This window comes from Homo sapiens, chromosome 17 (assembly GCF_000001405.40).
Source record: "Homo sapiens chromosome 17, GRCh38.p14 Primary Assembly".
Classification (NCBI taxonomy): domain Eukaryota; kingdom Metazoa; phylum Chordata; class Mammalia; order Primates; family Hominidae; genus Homo; species Homo sapiens.
This window is the reverse complement of record NC_000017.11, coordinates 61,066,395-61,088,407: the sequence shown is the minus strand read 5'-3', so window position 1 is coordinate 61,088,407 and position 22,013 is coordinate 61,066,395. Positions and strand designations below refer to the sequence as shown.

The 22,013-nt window shown below is 37.2% G+C and overlaps 1 protein-coding gene, 1 long non-coding RNA gene and 1 pseudogene across 11 annotated transcripts in view; 1 reads left to right on the top strand and 2 right to left on the bottom strand.

The window, feature by feature from the left end:
- The window catches only part of BCAS3 (BCAS3 microtubule associated cell migration factor), a 714,981-nt gene that overhangs the window by 304,424 nt on the left and 388,544 nt on the right, over positions 1–22,013 (bottom strand). For all 8 annotated transcript variants that reach the window (NM_001353144.2, NM_001353145.2, NM_001330413.2 and 5 more), the window contains 3 exons: positions 13,388–13,488; positions 9,879–10,075; positions 3,844–3,941 (listed from right to left, as the gene is read on the bottom strand). In NM_001353144.2, coding sequence (NP_001340073.1) covers positions 3,844–3,941; positions 9,879–10,075; positions 13,388–13,488 — 396 coding nt within the window. The remainder of the gene's footprint in view (positions 1–3,843; positions 3,942–9,878; positions 10,076–13,387; positions 13,489–22,013) is intronic.
- The window catches only part of BCAS3-AS1 (BCAS3 antisense RNA 1), a 101,500-nt gene that overhangs the window by 47,605 nt on the left and 31,882 nt on the right, over positions 1–22,013 (top strand). For 2 of the 3 annotated variants that reach the window (NR_186505.1, NR_186507.1), the window contains 2 exons: positions 17,526–17,568; positions 18,285–18,403. This is a non-coding gene — a long non-coding RNA (BCAS3 antisense RNA 1). The remainder of the gene's footprint in view (positions 1–17,525; positions 17,569–18,284; positions 18,404–22,013) is intronic. The other variant, NR_186506.1, reaches the window with a different exon arrangement.
- Positions 18,024–18,553, bottom strand: RPL23AP74 (ribosomal protein L23a pseudogene 74; annotated as a pseudogene).

Below are 22,013 nucleotides of genomic sequence, written 5' to 3'. Positions count from 1 at the left end.
AATGATTCATCGACATTGTTGTTCATCAGCTGGATATGGGAAAAAGTGAGCAACTGCCCCAAATCCCATTTGTTCTGGGTAGCCTGTGTCTTAGGTTAAAATCCTATAATGTGTCCATTTCCAAAATGATCTCCTCAGCCAACAATGGAACATCTTACAATTATTTAACCCCCACAAATTTTAGGTAGGATGGTTTTTGTTTTGTTTCGTTTTGTTTTGTCTTTTTGAGACAGAGCCTTGCTCGGTCACCCAGGCTAGAGTGCACTGGTGCAATCTCAGCTCACTGCAACCTCTGCCTCCCGGGTTCAAGCAATTCTTGTGCCTCAGCCTCCTGAGTAGCTGGGATTACAGCCATGTGAAACCATGCCCAGCTAATTTTTGTATTTTTATTAGGGACGGGGTTTTGCCATGTTAGCCAGGCTGGTCTCAAACACCTGACCTCAAGTGATCCACCGCTTCGGCCTCCCAAAGTGCTAGGATTATAGTTGTGATCCACTGCGCCCAGCTGGTATGGTGTCATTAGAATCACCAAAGACAAGATGAGACAGATGTTATGGGAATAACATCTACTCATCAAGCAGTTATAGAACTGCTGAAAATCAAAAATACTCTATATGTATTTTACAGAGAGACAGTAAGAATCTAGTTCATAGGTGTCTAAAGGCATAGAATTTACCCGGTGCTTAAATCACTGAAGTTAATAATTTAAAAATATGTATTTTAGGCAATGTGTTTCTTTGCAAAAGCATGAACCAGAGATTACCAGATATTAAGAAATTGTGAAAAAAACCATTACATGGTAAAAGTGGCACACTCTGCACACCTCTTTTAGTTTCAATGGAATAACGTTGTTGGATTAATACATAGATATCTAGAAAATAAACTGCAGACCCAAGATTTAAATAAAATATTTTCACTTTAAAAACTGTTATAATTGTCAAAGGATTTAATTATATCACATTAAATTCTATTATCTGTGAATAAAGTAATTATATGAAAAACAATTATACTGCCACAAGGTTAGACAGAGCAAGAGCTGTCACTAAAATAGAGGGTTAGGTGTAACATGTGCCATAGGAATAATTAAGAAGATAATCCATGAAGTCATATAAAATGCTTGAAGGTAATACAGGGCAATGAAGACCAACAGAGGAGGTGCCACACTGGTCGTATCTCCAAGTAACAGGCAATGAAACCTCCAGATAAGCAACTTCCTGATGTGCAGCTGACTCCAATGCATGGATCATAATCAGAGGTGCACTTCCCGGTTCAAGAGCAATTATAAAAATTTATTAGATTCTTTTTAACAGAAGAATCTACAACAAAATTTTCCCATAAATATGTTTACATAAAGAACTCAAATTATTTAGCCTCGATTTCGTTAGACTTGCTACCTTGATTTTTGTTAGCCTAGATGTTGTTTTCCACAGATGTAGAAAGTAATTCTGTTGACAACAGTTGGTCCTATTAAAGTAGATGGACATTCCACGACAAAACATTATTCACTCAAAAAATGCGTTAACATATATTTCTCATTCAAAAGGGATCTGAACCAATTGAGAGGTAGCTGAAGAGAGAATTACTCATAAAAGTCCAATTCCTTATCTATGAGGCTTCTTTAGCTCAAAGTTAAAGAAGGCAGCACACATGTTTCACTGTTTTGGTTGTCTTTCAGAAAGGTACCATGGCTTCCTGGAATGAAAACAGGCCTAGAAAAATAATAATAAAGCTTAGCCACCAAGAAGTTCTTTCCTACTCAAAAGATGGGTACTTTCAGGCAGAGAGGGTCAATGCCATCGAAACTCATACAGTGTATCTCTGATGCAAATTAAGTAATCTTAGGACTACTTACATATCAGATTATTTACATGTAGGATCTAATTCCTTATTCAAAAGTCAACTTAAAAACTCTTCTTGCAAAAGGATTTAAATAACAGTTCACTGAAGCTCCTCCCTTGTTGCATGAGATGACTTTACATACAGCTAAGATTGCTACATGATAAATATGGAATGTTGGCCAGACGCAGTGGCTCATGCCTGTAATCCCAACACTTTGGGAGGCTGAGGCAGGTGGATCACCTGAGGTCAGGAGTTCAAGACTAGCCTGACCAACAAGGTGAAACCCCATCTCTACTAAAAATACAAAAACTAGCTGGGTGTGGTGTCAGGTAGGTGCCTGTAGTCTCAGCTACTCGGGAAGCCGAGATAGGAGAATTGCTTGAACCTGGGAGGCAGAGGCTGCAGTGAGCCAAGATCGTGCCACTGCACTCCAGCATGGGTGACAGTGGGAGACTCTGTCTCAAAAAAATAAAAAATAAATATATATATATGGAGTGTTACCTCAGAATCTAGTATTGAATATGTCTACTTTTAATAACACAAGGTAACTGCTTTGGCAGCATGTGTTCCTAGTAGCTAGTCACTCGACAATAAAACATCAGTAATCTGGTAGTTTAAGAAGGTTTAAAAAGCCCAATCAAGGCCTACTCTTGTAATCTTGAATAAAATACTTCAGATTAAAATATGTAACATTTCCAGGATTCACAATTGTAAACGATCATTCCAAACGAGCACAACAATCTCTTAGCATTCTCAGAATGTGACTATAAAAAAGATTTATTGTTTAAGTTCCCTATCTCGATATCTCATTCAGTGCCGGGAAGCAATGATAGCGACTCTACACATTTCCATGCTCATTTCCAGGGGACAACCATGGTTGCCAAGTTAAAGCAGTAGGAACAAGTATGAGTCCTCTAAAGTAATAGTCTACGTTAAAAATGAAGGCATAGCCCTAGATGGGGCAGCTCAGTAAGATGCAAGGTACAATCCACTAACCAAAAAATCAGAAAGCTAAGAATATGTATAAAACCCATTAGCTTTGAAACTTAAAAATATATCCATATCCACAGACAGAAACTTTGGTCTTTTTAAAGTGACCTTCACAAATCAGTTTTGTGTTTGTTTCCATTTTCTTTCACAGTTTAAGCCTCAATCAAATCAGCAGTCTCTAGGGATTTTGAAATCGCTATAGATTAAAATCCTCTCTGACTCAACTGTTTGACTAACGCCGAGTATTTAATAATTCTACTTGAGAGAGAATTTTTGGACAAAATCCTGCCATGCGCTGTCTTCAGATGCTCCCCAGCTGCACTATAAAGCAAGGCATCACTGTCCTTATTTTATCACTTGACTTAGAGACGAGAAAATATATCACTACAGACAATTCTACCATTTAGTAGGCCTGGCTGAAAAGTTTTATAATACTAATGGAGCAACGATCACCTATAAAGGCAAAGATCTCCTTCTCTGTACTAATGATACATATTCATAGCTTGTTTCCAAGGATAGGAAATTAATAACTGTGATAGATAGACCAGGGTTAAGTTAATGAATTTTTAAACTTGATGCTTTTGATAATAAAATCATTCAAGCTATAGCATTTGGACTGTCTCCTCTCTACTCCCACAGATTAGGCACTTTGATACTCAACAGGTTGAGTAAATTGAATCCATAGATTGTATTTACGTTCTCTGTCAAGGTTGCTTCTCCACATTTCAGTGATCAAAGGCAAAACAGTCATCAACCCTGTAGCCTTCAATACTATGTTCATTACATTTAATCAAGTGCCAACTCCACTGCATCATTCACCAACCTTAGGAATGCTTAAAAGCATGGCATTGTTCAGCAAGAAATATAGGCACAGTACTGTATTAAAATGCACACACACCACAAAACAAAAAAACAGAGAGGAAAGCAAATAAATGTCATCCTCTACATTGTGCGAGAAAATTAGTTAAAAATGCACAGGACTGCCCAATAAATATTTCAGAGGTGGTTTTCTACCTGAGGCAGCATCAATCACTGTGGAAACTCCCCTTCGATCAGAGACTGGACGGGATGACCCTGGCATGCTGACGGGGTCAGAGCGGACTGGCTGGATCCTGCAATGCAATTTAATTTAATTCACATATGTTACTGGCATCAAAACTGTCACTTGCTACAAATGACCTTAAATCAGGAATGCTGGAGTAGCACAATCCATTAAAGAACCATCCATTCTAAAACAAGACAAACAGGGGAGCTGCAGTCCCTAATTGCTGCACAAGGATAAAACACTACAAATATTCTCTACACTCTGGACCCCTTCTAACTTATCTTTGTGTGTTATTCCATAGATTTTTAAGGAAGGGACTGAAAAGCTGACATTAATTTAAAGGGATACAATAAGTAGAATGGGAGAGGAAATTAAACACTGAAAATGTTTATACTGAAACCTTTGGGATTTCCAAGGGACACACATGAAGAGTTTTGAGAATCCTGAAATTCACTAATATCACCATAGCTATTAATGTGTTCCATAAAAGGCAGCAATGTGTAATTTCAAATTTTGAGATGCTCCATTAAAATGCTCAATGAAAGTTACTTTATATCTGACAGTAAGCATAGGATAACAAAGATGTACTGTGGCCGGGGTGGGTCACTACTAACTGAGCTACCTTTATAAAATTACCAACTAGCATACAACAATCAATTAGAACCTCAGTAAACGTGCAAATTACTACACACAATTTAAAGTTGCTTAAGAATAATAAACATCCATCCTGGCTAACACGGTGAAGCCCCGTCTCTACTAAAAATGCAAAAATTAGCCGGGTGTGGTGGCATGCACCTATAGTCCCAGCTACTCAAGAGGCTGAGGCAGGAGAACTGCTGGAACCCAAAAACCAGAGGTTGCAATGAGCCAAGATCGTGCCACTGCACTCCAGCCTGGGTGACAGAGCAAGACTCCGTCTCAAAAAAAAAAAAAAAAGAATAATAAACATATAAATGCCAAATGCCGAGTGTCTCTTTCTAGCTGCATTAGAATAAATACTATTAACATAAAAGTATCTGGAAGATTAAAAGATCTGAAAGTCCCAGGCAACTTAGTGAAACAAAAACTTATTACAACAATATATGCATGCATTTCTGGTAATTCATTCATACAGTAAGTATTTACTGAATATTAATTGCTTGTAGGCATTACTCTGAGAACAAGCAGAAACAAAACATAAAATACAGACCAATGTGTATATATATGACATAGCACATGAACATTCATGACAATGCAAAATAAAACTAAAGTGTAAATATGAATGACATAAATAGTAAAAGCTCAGATTGAGGAGATGGGGGAATACATGCAGGGTCCACATCAGTTAGAGATCTTGCAGAGCTGGAACAGGGATTAGGTCTGTATATAGTAATAGTATATACGCATAATGAAGAGGAGCAAGAAATGCCCTTTAAGCACAGGACTACAACATATAGAAACTTAGATTAGTGACTGAATACGATAGATTCAGGGCATCTTGAAGTGCATGATTTGGCTGAAGTATAGAGTTCATAAAGGCTATTGATGGAAGATAAAAAGTTGATAAGAAACATGGGACAGATGACAGAAGCCTGAAATGCCAAGTATGAACTGCAGACTAGTTATGAAATGCATGCTTTTGTTGTGAGGAAGAAAAAACAGGAGGGAGGTATAGGATGATCTATTACCGGAAGGTGAAAATACTGATTAACAAATATTGATCACTGCTATGTAGGACTACCCAATATTCATTCCACCCCAGCTAATTTTTCTAAGCCAATCATGGTAATCTCATCACATCTCGGCAGTGGTTAGTTAGGGGATAGGTAAGCCTAAGCTAATGTGGGCCAGTTAGAAAAGAGAAGTTTATTTAAAGTGTCTGGAAAAGAAGTTTCCTTGTTCTTGAGAGCAACAAAAAGCTAGCCTCTTAGATATGGTCAGTCCATTCAAAATTATGCCCCCTTCTAGTCTAAACAACTTCCTATGTGGGCTAATACAACTCCTATAGTTAGTCAATTTATATTGGGGTTTCTGAATAATCCAGAGTTGGAGGTAGGGTGTGAATGGGGCTACAGATGAAGCAAGATTGGCCATGACTTGATAGCTGAAGCTGGACAACAGATATATGGGGGTTTATGCTATTTTTCTTTTTATTTTATACATGTTTGAATTTTCTTCATAATTAAAAAAAGAGAAAAACTGGTTGGGATGATGGAAACGTTCTGAAATTAGTGGGATGGATGCCAAACATAGTGAATATACTAAAACCCACTGACTTGTACATTTTAAAACTGGTAAATTTCATGTTATGTGAATTATATCTCAGTTAAATAAAATAAAATAAATGATAACCAATTTCTGAGGAGCTAATCGAGTGGAAAGAGAGGCTTTGCATACTCAGCATCTTTTACATTATATGTTTCTCAGGTCTGTTAGCAAATATTTCATTGCCCATTCTTTTTAAACACCTGCTCTGTGTAGGGAGCTTGCCTGATTCCCTTATGGATGAGAGTCAACACTATGCCTGCCTGTTTCCCATTTTGGTTAGGCGGCAGGGAGGAAGATTATCACTGCACTACATATTATTATTGGTATCCTATGGGGTACAGGACAGTGTACTAGGTGTCAAGGGTCAGGTGAGCCCCAAAAAATCTAAACAAGGACTTCACAATTTAAGAGAGAAAGTAAAGCCAATGGTCGGCCATAGGCCACCATGCACAGGCGTGTAGAAATCAGATGAGAGACAAGGAGCTGGGCTAGAGTGATCATAAACGAGAATGAGGAGAATCTCAATAGTTGGGTTTCTAATTGGATGCCGGGTGGGAAATGGTGGTACTAAAAAGGACTTAAAATTGATGTGAATAAAATCTATATTTCCCATAAAAACTGCTGTAGGGTCTTAGCCAAGGTCCCAACCAAGCTTACCTGCTGAAAGTTTAAAATATAAATTACAAATGCAATTAACAGAAATTTATAAACCTGCTGCTCAGTATAAAGGTTTCTAAAGGTTATATGTGTCCTGTAAACAGGATAATATTCTAATCAAACATAAACAATTTAAAGTCATTTAGATTTAAACAAAATTTGGGGAGTTATTTATTATTATTAACAAAGGGAAAGTCTGCGAGGAAAATTCTTAAGGATTCTGAAAAGTAGCTATATCTGCTTTTAAAAGAAGCGAGTTAGAATTATCTTAATAGAAGGACTATACCTGAGGAAAAGAGTAACAAAGAAAGCTGAGGAGGCCACGAAACAATGGGGCAAAGACATCCTCAGAAAAAGTACAGCACAGGGCTTTATAAATAGCAGCTGGTCAATCACTAGAAAAAAAATGAGACAGTGTCTTGTGCACGGTTTAGCAAAAAAACTAAATGTGTTATATAGTTGTGAAGAGAATAAATTGGTTACTTATTTTAAACGCTTTATTATTAAGATTTAAATAACCAAATGACTGTTGTAAACACGAGTACACTGAATCACTAAGTTGAGGACTGCAAAGAATTGACTCCCTGATCATGGCTTCAGGTCCTAATCTAGACCATATTTAATCAATTAGCATCACTGAAAATTGGTCTGACACTCTCACTGTATTCTGTCATTATTACCTGACATCTTGGTCAAAAAATGTCATTTTTAGAAAGCTGGAGGAATTATGCTGGAACAAAAAAAATGCAGAGAAGAAAAAAACAAAATACAAAGCAGAGTAAACAAAAAATACTAAACAAGGTATTAAAAGAAGATACATTCTTCTTGATGAATCGTTCTTTTTTTGTGTGTTGGTTTGTTTGTTGTTTTGAGACGGAGTCTCACTCTGTTGCCCAGGCTAGAATGCAGTGGCACGATCTCGGCTCACTGAAATCTCCGCCTCCTGTGTTCAAGCAATTCTCCTGCCGCAGCCTCCCGAGTAGCTGGGATCACAGGTGTGCACCACCATGCCCGGCTAATTTTTTGTATTTTTTGTATTTTTTTGGTAGGGTTTTGATGGGGTTTCATCATGTTGGCCAGGCTGGTCTCGAACTCCTGACCTCATGATCCACCCTCCTCAGCCTCCCAAAGTGCTGGGATTACAGGCGTGAGCCACCACGCCTGGCTGAATCATTCTTTAAGAAGATACATCAGTCAGGGGAAAGCAAAAATGTAAAAAGGGACAGCAGTTAGGAGTCTGTGAGATGTTGCTAGGGTGCTGGCATTAGGAATGGAGAGGAGTGGAAGGTTTCTAGATGTATTTTGAATAGAAATGACATAAGTTGGTGAAGAATTAGATGTGGCATCTGTGAAAGGAGAGATTTCAAGGATAACCTCTAGATTCTGTCTTGAGTAGGTAGTTTGTGGAGTAATTTAAAGAGATGAGGCCAGGTGCAGTGGCTCACGCCTGTAGTCCCCACACTTTGGGAGGCAGAGGCGGGCAGATCACCTGAGGTCAGGAGTTCAAGACCAGCCTGGCCAACATAGTGAAACTCCATCTCTACTAAAAACACAAAAACTAGGGAGGCGTGGTGCCACATACCTGTAATACTAGCTACTCAGGAGGTTGAGGTAGGAGAATCGCTTGAATACAGGAGGCTAGAATACATTCTAGATGTTGCAGTGAACTGAGATCGCACCACAGCACTCCAGCCCAGGTGACAGAGTGGGACTCAGTCTCAAAAAAAAAAAAAAAAAAAAAAAAAAATACTCATGCCTGTAATCCCAGCATTTTGGGAGGCCAAGGCGGGAGGATCACTTGAGGTAAGGAGTTCAAGACCAGCCTGGCCAAAATGTTGAAACCCCGTCTCTACTAATAATACAAAAATTAGCTGGGTCTGGTGGCGGGCGCCTGTCATCCCAGCTACTCAAGAGCCTAAGGCAGGAGAACTGCTTGAACCCAGGAGACAGAGGTTGCAGTGAGCAGAGATCACACCATTGCACTCCAGCCTGAGTGACAGAGCAAGACTCCGTCTCAAAAAATAAAATAAAAAATAAATAAAATAAAATAGAGATGACAAAGAATAGGGGTGAGAGCAGGATTAGGGAGTGAGATGAAGAGTTGCAATTCAGACCCAAGTAGGCAGCCGGCCGTACTCTAGGCTTATCTCCTGGCACCTCCTGGCAGGTACTCAGTAAATATGTGTCATATTTTCTAAACAGATACATCAGGCATAATCCAACTTTGCAACAATTTTCATCTTGTTATAAAAATTTTTTATTGTTACTGACAAAGAAGACAAAAACGTATTTCCACTATGTAACTGGAACATTTTTTCCCACTATTTTTTAAAAGGTGTGCAAGAAAAAGGTCAGAGGGTTGTTTTATATTCAATTCAAGATATACTATAGAGTTTTTTTTAAAGAGAAGACAAGAAAAGGGAGATTATATTACATTAGACTGAGTCCTTCATTATCTGTTGCACCCTAATGTGTCAAGTCTTGGTATAACAAATTAAACTGCTAAGCAAACTTGAGACTGCAAGTCAAAACTGTCTGAGTTGCAATTAAAAAAAAAAGCTAATAATAAAAAGCATAATTTGTACACCTGTCCTAGGATTCCTACAAATAAGGATGAGAGAACATGTATTATAAAAATATAGAAGATAAACTATAATTGAATTTATACCAACGTTTTTCCATCCAAAAACTTTATATAATCTAAAAGAAGGGAGATACAGGATTAGATAAAAATCACAGATGAAATTTAATTGAAAGGTGGTGCCAACTTCAGAAAGATCAGGAAAAGAATACATAATCAGATTCAAGCAGTTAGAAATATAAGCAAAGCATCAAAAAGTGGAATTGCTTGAAAAGTGCAGTGACTATTAGATTTAGGGAGAATATAATCTGAAAAGCAAGTATTTATTGCACGTAATGTGATCCCACGAGACCCTATATACCATCTCAAGTAATGACAGGGAATTACGTGCAACAGTACATGTAGTCTGCAACATGATACTGTGCCAAAAGGGGAAACCTAAATATTACATATGATGCTCATTTCACACGAACATATTAATCCTTTTGTTCAAATCACTCCCTAATTCTCATTTCCTACCTGAGACTGTTGAGATCAAGATCATCTGTATCAAAATCCAAAAGAGGCTGTGGCGTGTCACTCGGACCATGAGACTGCAACACAGATGAACTGGATGAGATAACTGTGGTTTGGCCTGAGGGATGGATGGTTTTGAACTGGAACTGTGGACCCATCCACAGACGTCTATGGGGTCCAGTGTGTGTTACAATTTCAACCTGGAATGGAGTAGCAATGATGATTTAAATGGTTTGTGATCCTGATTTGAGAGACTTCACAATCCCCCATTCTTCCTCTTAACACCCACATTCTTCAAGAAGCCCATGTTAAAGTGGCAAAGGGATAGGACACCCATAATTAAAAGGTGATGATAATCACAGCTGATGTAGACATTCAAAATATCCCTCTACTGCTTTTCATCAACATAAGCCAAAAATACATTTTGTGTACATATACATACACAGACACACATGCACACCTCACACACATATACAAGACAAAAATCACATGAAAGTAAAAGGACCAGTTGCTTGCCTCATATAACTAGTGTCAGCTCCGTAGGGTCTACCTTTTCATTCATTCTAGACAGTACTTACCATGTTGTGGGCATGCACTGAATACTACACCTATTAATCCACAGATTAAAAGCAATTCCTTCACTGAGGATCAAGCTTATGACAAACGTGAAGTTGTTCTTGAACCATCCAAGGAAAAGTAAAGGTCTGAAATAATTTTAATGCCCAAAGCCACTTTATTTCCACAATAAAATATTATAATATTTATTATACTGCCCTAATATTACCCCAATCCACTTTTAAATGAAAACATTATTATATATTTTCTCTCAAACTAGATTTTTGTCTTCCAAATACCATTAATTAGTGTGTTTTCTCAACTGCCACAAATATCGACACAGGCATTTGATGTGCTACAAAACAGTAATACCAAAATGCTTTATGAATTTCACGCTCAATGGGGGGGATAGGGAATGTTGCCAATATTTTATTTTATTTATTTTATTTCATTTTTTTTTTGAGACGGAGTCTCGCTCTGTTGCCCAGACTGGAGTGCAGTGGCGTGATCTCCGCTCACTGCAAGCTCCGCCTCCTGGGTTCACTACATTCTCCTGCCTCAGCCTCCCCAGTAGCTGGGACTACAGGCGCCCGCCACCACGCCCGGCTAATTTTTTGTATTTTTAGTAGAGACGGGGTTTCACCGTGTTAGCCAGGATGGTCTTGGTCTCCTGACCTGGTGATCCGCCTGCCTCGGCCTCCCAAAGTGCTGGGATTACAGGCGTGAGCCACTGCGCCCGGCCGCCAATACTTTATTAAACATTATAAAGTCAAAGAAGTGGGTAGAAGACACTTGGAAAAACCTGAAAATATATATATTACATGATTTTTTTTTTTTTTTACAAATAATCAACTCGAATGAGAGACTAAATATACAAACTAGTTTAAATGTCTTGTCAATGGTACATTCATGCCTGTGCAAATACTTTATGTAATTGACTTCCCACATGCCTTATTTTTGTCCTGAGTTCTTTTATATTTAATCACATTTCTCTGATTGTGGTGATTAATTCTTAACAAAACATAACTGAAAAGGTTCACAGAGTGTAGCCCTGTGTGAGTCCAAAAGGGCAAAAGCATCATGGTCTTTGGAACAATATTCACATTCCTACTAATCACAGGGAGAAAAATGCTCAGATTGAGGACAGTGATTTCTGATTCAAGTAGTTGTATTCAGCAATGTAAATTAGGCCACAGATAAAGCATTCTGTGTACTTTAAGCTCAAAACCATCAGTGTCACAGAGCCCAGAGGTAAACAGATGCCTGTTCAATTTCACCGAGGCGATGGCCAGATGTTCCTATTCACTCTCCTGTTGTGTGCCGGACAAACACATTGTATATACTTTCACACTGACAGCACACATTACCCCTTTTTCTAATTGAAAAGTTGAAGTGAAGGACAGTGGTTTCTCTGCCAGCATTCCTTGGACAACATTTTGATTTTGGAAAAAACACACATTTGGGGTTTACTTTATCTTCCTAACATTAAGAAAGGATGGACCGCCACATGCCAGGAACTGAAGAATCAACTTCCTTCAAGGAACTTCCTGTGAATATTTTTGGTGTGATGAAATAAATACATGTTACCTAGACACTGCTTGATTTTCCAGTTTACTTTACTTTTGATTTTCCAGACTTTAGTTTTCAGGCTACCCTCCTTGAGAAAGAAATGAAACTACAAATGGCCTCCACATTTTTGAGGCACCTGTCCGATGAAAAGCTGTCAGATTGGTAACCTGAGATAGGTCATTAGCTTCATAAAATGATGTCAGACTTGAGGCAGACATAACAGCATTTGTAATGAAGTCATTTGTAATCCCATCATTTTGACATCTGCCCAAGTATCTTTTATTTCAAAGCCCTTGAGATGAAGACAGCTTCACCTGGCAAGGGGAGGGATGGTCAGTGAAGCTGTTGGAGACTGGGCATGGTGGCTCTTGCCTGTAATCCCAGCACTTTGGGAGGCCAACACAGGAGGATTGCTTGAGCCCAGGAGTTCAAGACCAGCCTAAGCAACATAGGGAGATCCTGTCTCTACATTAAAAAACAAACAAAAAAAACAAATTAGCCAGCATGGTGATGCGTGCCTGCAGTCCCAGCAATGTTGTAGGGCTGGCTTAGAGACCACTAAAAGCAGCATTACATGGGCTTAGGAAAGGAAACCAAGGCACCATCAGAATTTCTGCAGGGTGGAATGTTATATTTCCAATAATGAAAGTATGAACTCAATCTTCGGAAAATGTTGGCTCCACAAAACAAATCCCAAAGATTGCTGAGTGGCTTCACTGTTTCATCAAGGTCAACTTTTATTTTAAACCTGATGAAAATGTGTTCCAAAGAGCCTATTTAAATTCCAAGCTCCTGGCTGGCCACAGTGGCTCACGTCTGTAATCCCAGCACTTTGGGAGGCCAAGAAGGGTGGATTGCTTGAAGTCAGGAGTTCAAGACCAACCTGGCCAACATGGCGAAACCCCTTCTCTACTAAAAATACAAAAATTAGCCAGGCATGGTGGTGCATGCCTGTAATCCCAGCTACTCAAGAAGCTGAGGCATGAGAATCGCTTGAAACCAGGAATTGGAGGTTGCAGTGAGCCAAGGTCGTGTCACTGCACTCCAGCTTGGGTGACAGAGCAAGACTCTGTCTCAAAAATTAATAAATTAATTGATTCCAAGGCCCTAAGGCTTTAAATGGATTGTGTGAAAAATACACAAATTTTATGCCATGTTTATGGAAGCTAACATATATATATATACACACACGTATAATGTATATATAATATGTATATGTACACCTGCAGCAATATTTGTGGAGTAATTTGTAATATGGAAAGACAACTAATTCTTGATAATCCAATAAAGAGTTACCAATTCTCCCCTTTTACCTCTAAGGAAAAGAATAAAAACAGTAAATTTCTGTTTTATTTTACTTTAATACTCTCAATATTTCAGAGTTTTACCTGGGAAAGCCATTCTTCATCTTCCTGTCCACTATGGTCAGAAGCTAAACTGTCGTAAGACCCATGTCGAGTAATGGGCCCAGGACTTCCAGGGGGAACCACTATAGGAGAAAGAAAATAGATTTAAACCACTTCATTCCATGCAGTGGAAAAACAGACGTGGGCACAACCATTTTGGATACTATGGTAATTTATAAGATAAAATATAATACTTTAAAGCAAAAAGGCAATTCAAACAATTATTGAACAAGTAAGAATGAAGTTCTTAGGAATAAGATACTTTAAAAAATATCTACAGAAATTTAGTAATGCCATCTTCTTGCAATAAAAGAAATAAACAACTAACTACATATGCTAATAGCAAAAGTACACTGAAGAGCAGCGACAAATCTATTCATTGGGGGATGACATTAGGATTCTTTAAAAGAGTTTATTTAGTAGCTTCATATAAATGCTAGGCATAAACATGCACACTTAATAGAAAAAATGCTTTCAGTCCTAAAAAAAATTCATTTATCCAGAGAAATACATCATCTTTCTTAGATACCTGAGTAGTTTTCATGATTCTTAAGTGGTATGACATAGTCAAATTACAACAGCCTACTTTTTCATTCAAATAGGAACATTTGCTTAGTAAAACAATACAATGATTCAAAAATATTTACTGAGTTCCTAATATGAACCAGATATTATCTCCTCAAAATCTTAGTCTCTTCTTTGGAAGCTACGACTCACTCACTCTGTCTGTCTCCATGTCTCTAAAGGTATTTTTTTCTTTTTTTCTTCTTTTTTTTTTTAACAGCAGTTTTAGGTTCACAGCAAAGTTGAGCTAAAGATACGGATATTTCCCATATAACCCCCCAACCTCATACATGATTGTATTTAATCTTTTTTTTTTTTTTTTTTTCTTAAGAGATAGGATCTTGCTGTGTTACACATGCTGGATTACAGTGGCATGATCATAGCTCACTGTAACCTCAAACTTCTGGGCTCAAACCATCTTCTCACCTCAGTCTAATAAGTAGCTGAGACTACAGGCATGAGCTACCAATGCCTGCCCAATATTTTCTTCCTTGTAGAGACAGGATCTCACAATGTTGACCAGGCTGGTGTCAAACTCCTGGCCTCAAGTGATCCTCTGGCTTTGGCTCTCAGAGTGCTGGGATTACAGGCATGAACCACCACGCCTGGCCTACCATTTTAATACTCAGAGAAATCAAGCAATGAAGTACTGGGAGGAACAGAGAAAAAGAGGGGAGGTAAGTAGAAAGAAAAGTAAGAAAGTAAGAGATGATCATTAAAGAAGTGTGGAAGAAATAGAAAAGAATGAGAAGCTGAAAACCCTCATAATTTCTACCACCAAAAGACATTTATATATACACATCAACATACAAAAATTTCCTTGAGTTAGATTCCTACATATGAAATCAGAGGATGTAAATATATAAATTTCTTAATATATGTTCCCAGAAAGAGTTATACACTTACCCAAGCAGTGAAAGAGAATGCCAACCTCACTGAGCTCTTGCTAGAACAAGGTAGTATTTTGAAAAACTGTATCTTAGTGAAACAGATACAAATAAAGTAGACAAAGCATAACCTAGGGCAAGATTTTAAAAGACACAGACTCACAAAAAGCTTATCTTAACTTGCTGCAAGAGGAGAAATGCTAATTCAGTGAATTACTCAGCAGAGGCATACACAGTATTAAAGTGTAAGATCTGCAGTAATCAAAACTTTTAGCTGCTAGTTCTTCAAAATCATAGTTCTACAGCCAAGCGGCATGGTGGCATTTGTACAAAACACAAATGATCACAAAAGCATACACCTACATTCTTGTGATGACAAATTATATCAAGAAGAAAAGAATATCACAATAACTATTATTTCAGCATTCTTTTGGAAATAATTGATATACATTGAAAGGCTGATAAGTAATGATATTTTCAAAAGGCTAAGTTATCTTCCCACCACTAAATTCTATATTAATTCTTAATACAGAAGAGAACAAGAGGATCCTTGAAATTCCCACCCCTTAAATACTAGTGAAAAATGTGAATATGGAAAATATGTAGAGGCTGGAAAGCAGATGAGGGCAGAGAAGATTTTAAAGAGGTGAGGTAATATGTTATGCAAATATCTGAAGGAGAGGTGTGACCAAGGGAATGTTAAGTACAAAGATTTTGAGATGTAAACATAAAGGGAATAAGTAACAGCTAGGAGGCCACTGTGGTTGGGTGGGATAAGCCATGTTGTGAGTGGAAGGTTAAGTCAGTAAGGCAAAGGAAGTAGGACCAGCAGATTACTGTGGGCTTTTCCTTTCTTCTTTTTTTTTTTTTTTTTTGGTAATAAAGCTCGAGTAATATGATGGAAAGCAATTAGCAATTTTTAAGTAGAAGTGAGTAACCATGCCTTACGTAACTAGCTAGTACCTAATGTGAATTTCTCCAAAAGTTTATGTTGTGTTTTATATATGCTGAGCCTAGACTAGTACGTGTCACAGAACAAGTACTCAATAAGTATTTACTGGGTGGTTGGAGTTTTGGATTCTGTACTAAGTAAGTAACGGCACTAGAATGGCTGGACACTTATTTATCCATCATCAAAATAGGGATAATATATTATAATGTCTGGGATTAGCTTCAAAATAACCCAGTGCAGGGATGAAGGTGGGAGGTAGAATTACAGATGAAAACAGGATTGGTCATTAGTTGATCATTGTTATAGCTGGCTGATAGGTACATGGAGGCTCACTATACTATTATTTTCTAGTTTTGTGTATGTTTGGAATTTTCCACAGTGAGAAGGGAGAAAGATCCTCTCTGCCCTCATTAACTTTCCAAAGGAAGTAATAAAGATTCCAAATATACATCTAGAAATAGTACCATAAATATGCACCCCAAAATCCTAAAGAGATTATAAGAATTTCCATCCCCTTTTTTCACCAAAAATAGTTTTCTAATTAAGCATACTTGGAAGCCATCAGAAGATGGGCAATATAAAAAATAAATCTGGTGGGATAATATTTTTCATTATCAAATAAATATCCTTCCTCTGCCTCACCATTTTTTCCATGTTTGATACATTTTTATTACTAAATTGGGTAAAAGCACAAACATCAAAACAGGAAAAGCTTATAATTAGAAGCTAACTATAATCCAAATAATTTTGAAAAGTCTGAAAGAAGAGTGCAATAAGAGAACATATTTTTTTCACAATAAATTAATCATTAATTGGCACTGTGGTGTTAAACATACAACTAGATATATTACTGTTCATAATAATTGGTAATGTAATATATTTATTAAAATCTGTTGGTCTTCCTATTATATTTAGTATTGGATTCTCTATACAGTTTTAGGAATTACAATATGTAGTATGGAATACCTTAGAACAGTCCCAACAGTATACCACCAAGCCAGAACGCTGTTCCTCCAAATGTGGTCCTCAGACCATTAACATTGACATCCCTCGCAGAGCTTGTTAGAAATAAATAACTTCAGGCTCCACCCACCCAGCCCTACTGAATTACAATCTGCATTTCAACAAGATCCCTAGGTGATTTTATTACACATTAAAATTTGAGAGCTGCATTATACAGGAGTAGACTCACTGCCATTCCTCTAAAATAGATCAGTAGTAAAAGTTTGGAGAATCTACATTATTCTTTAAAAGGAAAAAATATGAAAAACTGGTTTTCATTTGAGAGCTTAGGAGGAAAATAATTAGTTACTTATTGCCATTTCTAAAATCTAGACAAGAAAATTCTGAAATAAGCATGGTTATTATGAGATTAAGTTAGCTATAAATTATTAGGAAATTTAAAATAGAAAGGTACTATCATTTTCATAGGATTTACTTTTTTTGTCCACTTGTTATCCTTCTAAATTCTTCACTATAACCTCAAATTTCAGTATAAATGGCCATTATAGCAGAAGAGCCAGGCTCTGTTTTCCATGGCTGATGTTGGGGGACATATCAAGCCAGTATATGCATAAGTTAAAGGGACAGATCTAAAATGTTCAGCTTACCAGTATTTAATACTTTTCTTAGTTTTTGTTGTAGTTGTTGTTGTTGTTGTTTTAGTCAAAGGTGGTTAAGTGTTTGGAAATGACCTTAGGTGGCTTCTGTTTTACAGATATGACCTGCCAGCGTCACACAACTTTCATACAAAGAAATCAGTAAGTCTCTTGATTTTAGTCAGTCTACATATAGTATTGAAAAGCTTTGTGACAAGTAATTCTTTCTAATGTTACCAGGCTGCCTGTGTAAATACAGAAGGCCAGCCTAGGAGACAGGATAAATTATCTGTGGGAAGGGCCCATAATCAATAGCCAACATTCTAGTTTAAAATTCATTCTCAAATGCTTTGGGCACAAAAAGGTAAAAATAAACTAAGTTTTTGCTCTTTTTATATAGCATATATTTTCTTAGTTTGTACTAATACATTCTTATATTACAAAGGCAATTTCATGGAAGAATCTTCCTTTTGATATTGAATCATCTGAAATTACACAAATAGAACTATACATTCAAAAAAATTCTCATGTGAATAACAAAAAAGACAAGTTAAACAACAACAAAAAAGCTTCCTTTCTATTTTTTTTAAATGGTGAAAAGATATATATATATATATATATATATATATATATATTCAGAATTAGGCAGCTGGACTCAGTTTAGATGATCCCAATTTTGTTGGCAACATCCAAAGCATCGTAACCAGGAGCCAGTCGAACATATGCCTTCTTCTCTCCATCAGGCCAAATCAGGGTGTTGACCTTGGCCACATCAATGTCATAGAGCTTCTTCACAGCCTGTTTAATCTGGTGCTTGTTGGCTTTAACATCCACAAGGAACACAAGTGTGTTGTTGTCTTCTGTCTTCTTCATGGCAGACTCAGTGGTCAGCGGAAACTTGATGATAGCATAGTGGTCAAGCTTGTTTCTCCTGGGAGCGCTCTTCCGAGGATATTTGGGCTGTCTCCAGAGTCGCAGTGTCTTCGGCTGCCGGAAGGTGGGTGACGTGCGGATCTTCTTCTTTTTGTGGCTGTGGACACCTTTCAACACTGCCTTCTTGGCCTTTAAAGCCTTCGCTTTGGCTTCGGCTTTAGGAGGGGCAGGAGCTTCCTTCTTCGCTTTCGGCGCCATCTTGTGAAAAGGGTCTTTTTTTTTTTTTTTTTTTTTACACAGGGTCTCACTCTGTTACCCAGGCTGGAGTGCAGTGGCATGATCTCGGCTCACTGCAGCCTCCACCTTGTGTTCAAGCGATCCTCCCACCTCAGCCTCCTGAGTAGCTGGGATTACAGGCGTGCGCCACCATGCCTGGCTAATTTTTGTATTTTTAGTAGAGACGGGATTTTGCCATGTTGGCCAGGCTGGTCTCAAACTCCTAACCTCAAGTGATCCACCCGCCTTAGCCTCCCAAAGTGCTGAGATTACAGGCATGAACCACCACACCTGGCCTGAAAGTTTTCCTTTCTTGCAGGTGGACATTGAATAGTAGGCCTAATTTGGATTTTGTTTTAAAAGTCCCAAAACAAAAGCAGCTTAAAACCTAATTAAAATGAATTTAAAAATCTGTGCACTCAACTACTGGTCTCTGGCACCATTTTCTGTTTTTTGTCCTTGTGGCGCAGGTTCTTCTTTGTTTCTTCTTTTGCTCTTTTCATTGGCTCAGTTGCACCATTCTCCATCACATTCATCATCACTATCAAATTTAGTTTACCTGCCCTGAAACTGTACCTTCCCTATCGCAAACCCAGGCTGGGTAGCTTTATTACTCTTCCCTTTTCCTGTAAATCTGCAATCTTTGACTTCCATTTATTTGGGGATTCTTGTTGGTCTTGCATGATTTTTTTCAATGCTTCTTTTTCATCTCTCCTTCTACTATTTCCCAAGTCACTTCTTTGGTTTTTTGTTTTTTAATTGTGGGTTACCATTATTTGTGTCTTTGGCTTTACCTAATGCTTCTTTGGCTTTTTCTTTAAATAGAATTATCCTCTCTTTTGCTCCTCTGACAAAGTCTATCCATTTTATTTCACCACTTGCATTTATTTATATTAAAAAATTTCTCTCAATCCAGGTAGGAAGAACATTCTATGTTTACTACCTTGGGAAGGAATGACATACCTGTTCACATGGAAAAAAGAATTTACAACCTTGATAAAAAGAAAATATGATAAGAGCAAAGTTTCCATGCTTCTAACCACTCAAATATTAGGAATGATACCCTGAGATTGGAGCGAGACTGGCAGAGACAGAAAGGGGAAAAAAGAGGGTCACAAAGAGGAGTGGGAAACGACAGAATCCCAGAAGAAGTTTTAGGGACCAATGGCGGTGAAAACTTATGTCTTCAATCTTGGGCAGAGTTAAGGGAAGTGGCAAGAGATCCCACATGGTACAAGAGTAGAAATGGTGTGCACATAGTGTGTCTGTACAGCCAGGTCTGTGACAACCTTACCATGTTCTCCATAGCTTAGAGGAGAAGAATGTTTCATACATGTACAAGAATAATATGGACATAGTCCAGACAACTGACAGGAGCTGGATGAGAAACAAGAATGGATGCTGCAGAGACCTATATGAACCAATGGCCAATGATCTGGTGGGGAAATGGGACATGTCAGTGGTGACAATTAGGACAAAATGTCCCCAAATCCCTTACCTCATACTTTTATACCCTGAACACCCTAGAGAATTTAGATGTAACTTTGGAGGTGGTATAATTGATTGAGATTAATTTTTCCACCTTTCTTCGAATGGAGGTACTAAAAAAAACTTAATAGAGTTTATTTAAAGAAAAATAAAGTTACATATCTTGCAAATCCAAGTTCAATGGACCAAGATACAAAATAGCTACCCTAAAGAAAAATGTTTAGTATCTTTTATATTTACCAACTGTCCTTAGATAATTAATAAACTTGGTACAAGGATATAAATCTAGCCATGTTCTTAGTACAGTAATTTTCAAACACACCTTATCTGCCAAACTGAAAAGGAAAATACTGAATAGGGAATACTATCAATTTACTTTAGAGAATACAACTTCAAAAGTACTGCCTCTACACACAGGCTTTTGCTAAATATACATCAACGAGCAAAGGCAGGATGAGTAGATCATTATGAGGTAACTGTGAGCCTGTCTGTTTTTAGTATTTATAAGCAAATCATGCTTATAGTGAGTAAATAAGAGCTAAAAAATCACTTATGGTATTTTTCTTATAGGAATATATGGGCTTCTGTGTATACATGTGTGTGTTTCTATATATATATATATATTTTTTTTTTTTTTTGTTTGTTTGTTTGAGATGGAGTCTTGCTCTGTCACCAGGCTGGTATACAGCAGCATGATCTCAGCTCACTGCAGCCTCCGCCTCCCAGGTTCAAGCGATTCTCCTGCCTCAGCCTCCCAAGTAGCTGGGATTACAGGTGCGCACCACACACCCAGCTAATTTTTGTATTTTTAGTAGAGGTGGGGTTCCACCATGTTGGCCAGGATGGTCTCGATCTTTTGACCTCATGATCCGCCTGCCTCAGCCTCCCAAAGTGCTGAGATTACAGGTGTGAGCCACTGTGTTCAGCCTATTTATATATTTTCATATGTGAGTATGTGTAAAGCAAACAAAAGCCAATCTGCTTTAGGGCTGACCTTTGAAAATTAGTCCTGTTAATCTAAACCAAAAATACTGCCAAGTCTGTATAAATATATATATATATATATATATATATATATATATATATATATACACATACACACATAAATAAAGTTATGAAATGAAAGATTAATGTCCCCTTAATAACATCCTTAGGTCTGAATCCTATATAATAAAATTCACAATGTTCCAAAAAGTCAATTAATAATATAACTTTTCAAATCAAAATCTTAGAAGAGTTCTATTTTTGAATTTTTAGATGCCTTCTGCAACTTAATACAAGAATCAATGTGTAAAGAATTTTAAAAAATTACCCACAGAAAATATGGTATTTATCGGTTAGAGAAAGTTAAAAGTGTTGCTTTACATACTGCTAAACTATAGGTACAAAGTATTAAAGTATATAAATAATAATTGCAAGATTAAAGGTATAAACATTAACAGACCTCTAAGTTGACATCCTTAAGTTTCTTCAAATATCTAGTTCTTTAACACTACTTAATACAGGTTAGGATAGGTGAATTTGAACCAGGATTCCGAGAATGAGTTATTACCATTCCTAGAAAAATTTAAACCTAACATTTCAATTTTTCCCCCAAAAGAATGAGAAGAAAACCTCAATTTTATGGAATCAAATTCTTTCTAAAATATCCCCAGAGAAACAGCTAGATATCAAAAAAGTTCATCTGCAACTAATCTAGTCTTCTACTTAGAATACAAAAGGTAAGATATTTATCATTAACATATTAAATATACTGTACATTAGAGCAGGTAATTAATTACTCTCATTATATTGGACATGGTTTAAGATACTCAGGAAAAAAATTAGACCTTGTAAAAATGAAGTTTATAAGATTTAAATATTTCTTTGTAAAGCAAGAATAAAAATAAAAATATCTGTATCCAGTACCATTTCATTTAAAGCAATGAAAAACAACTGCCAACGCATGTAAAAGTTAAAAGACTACACAC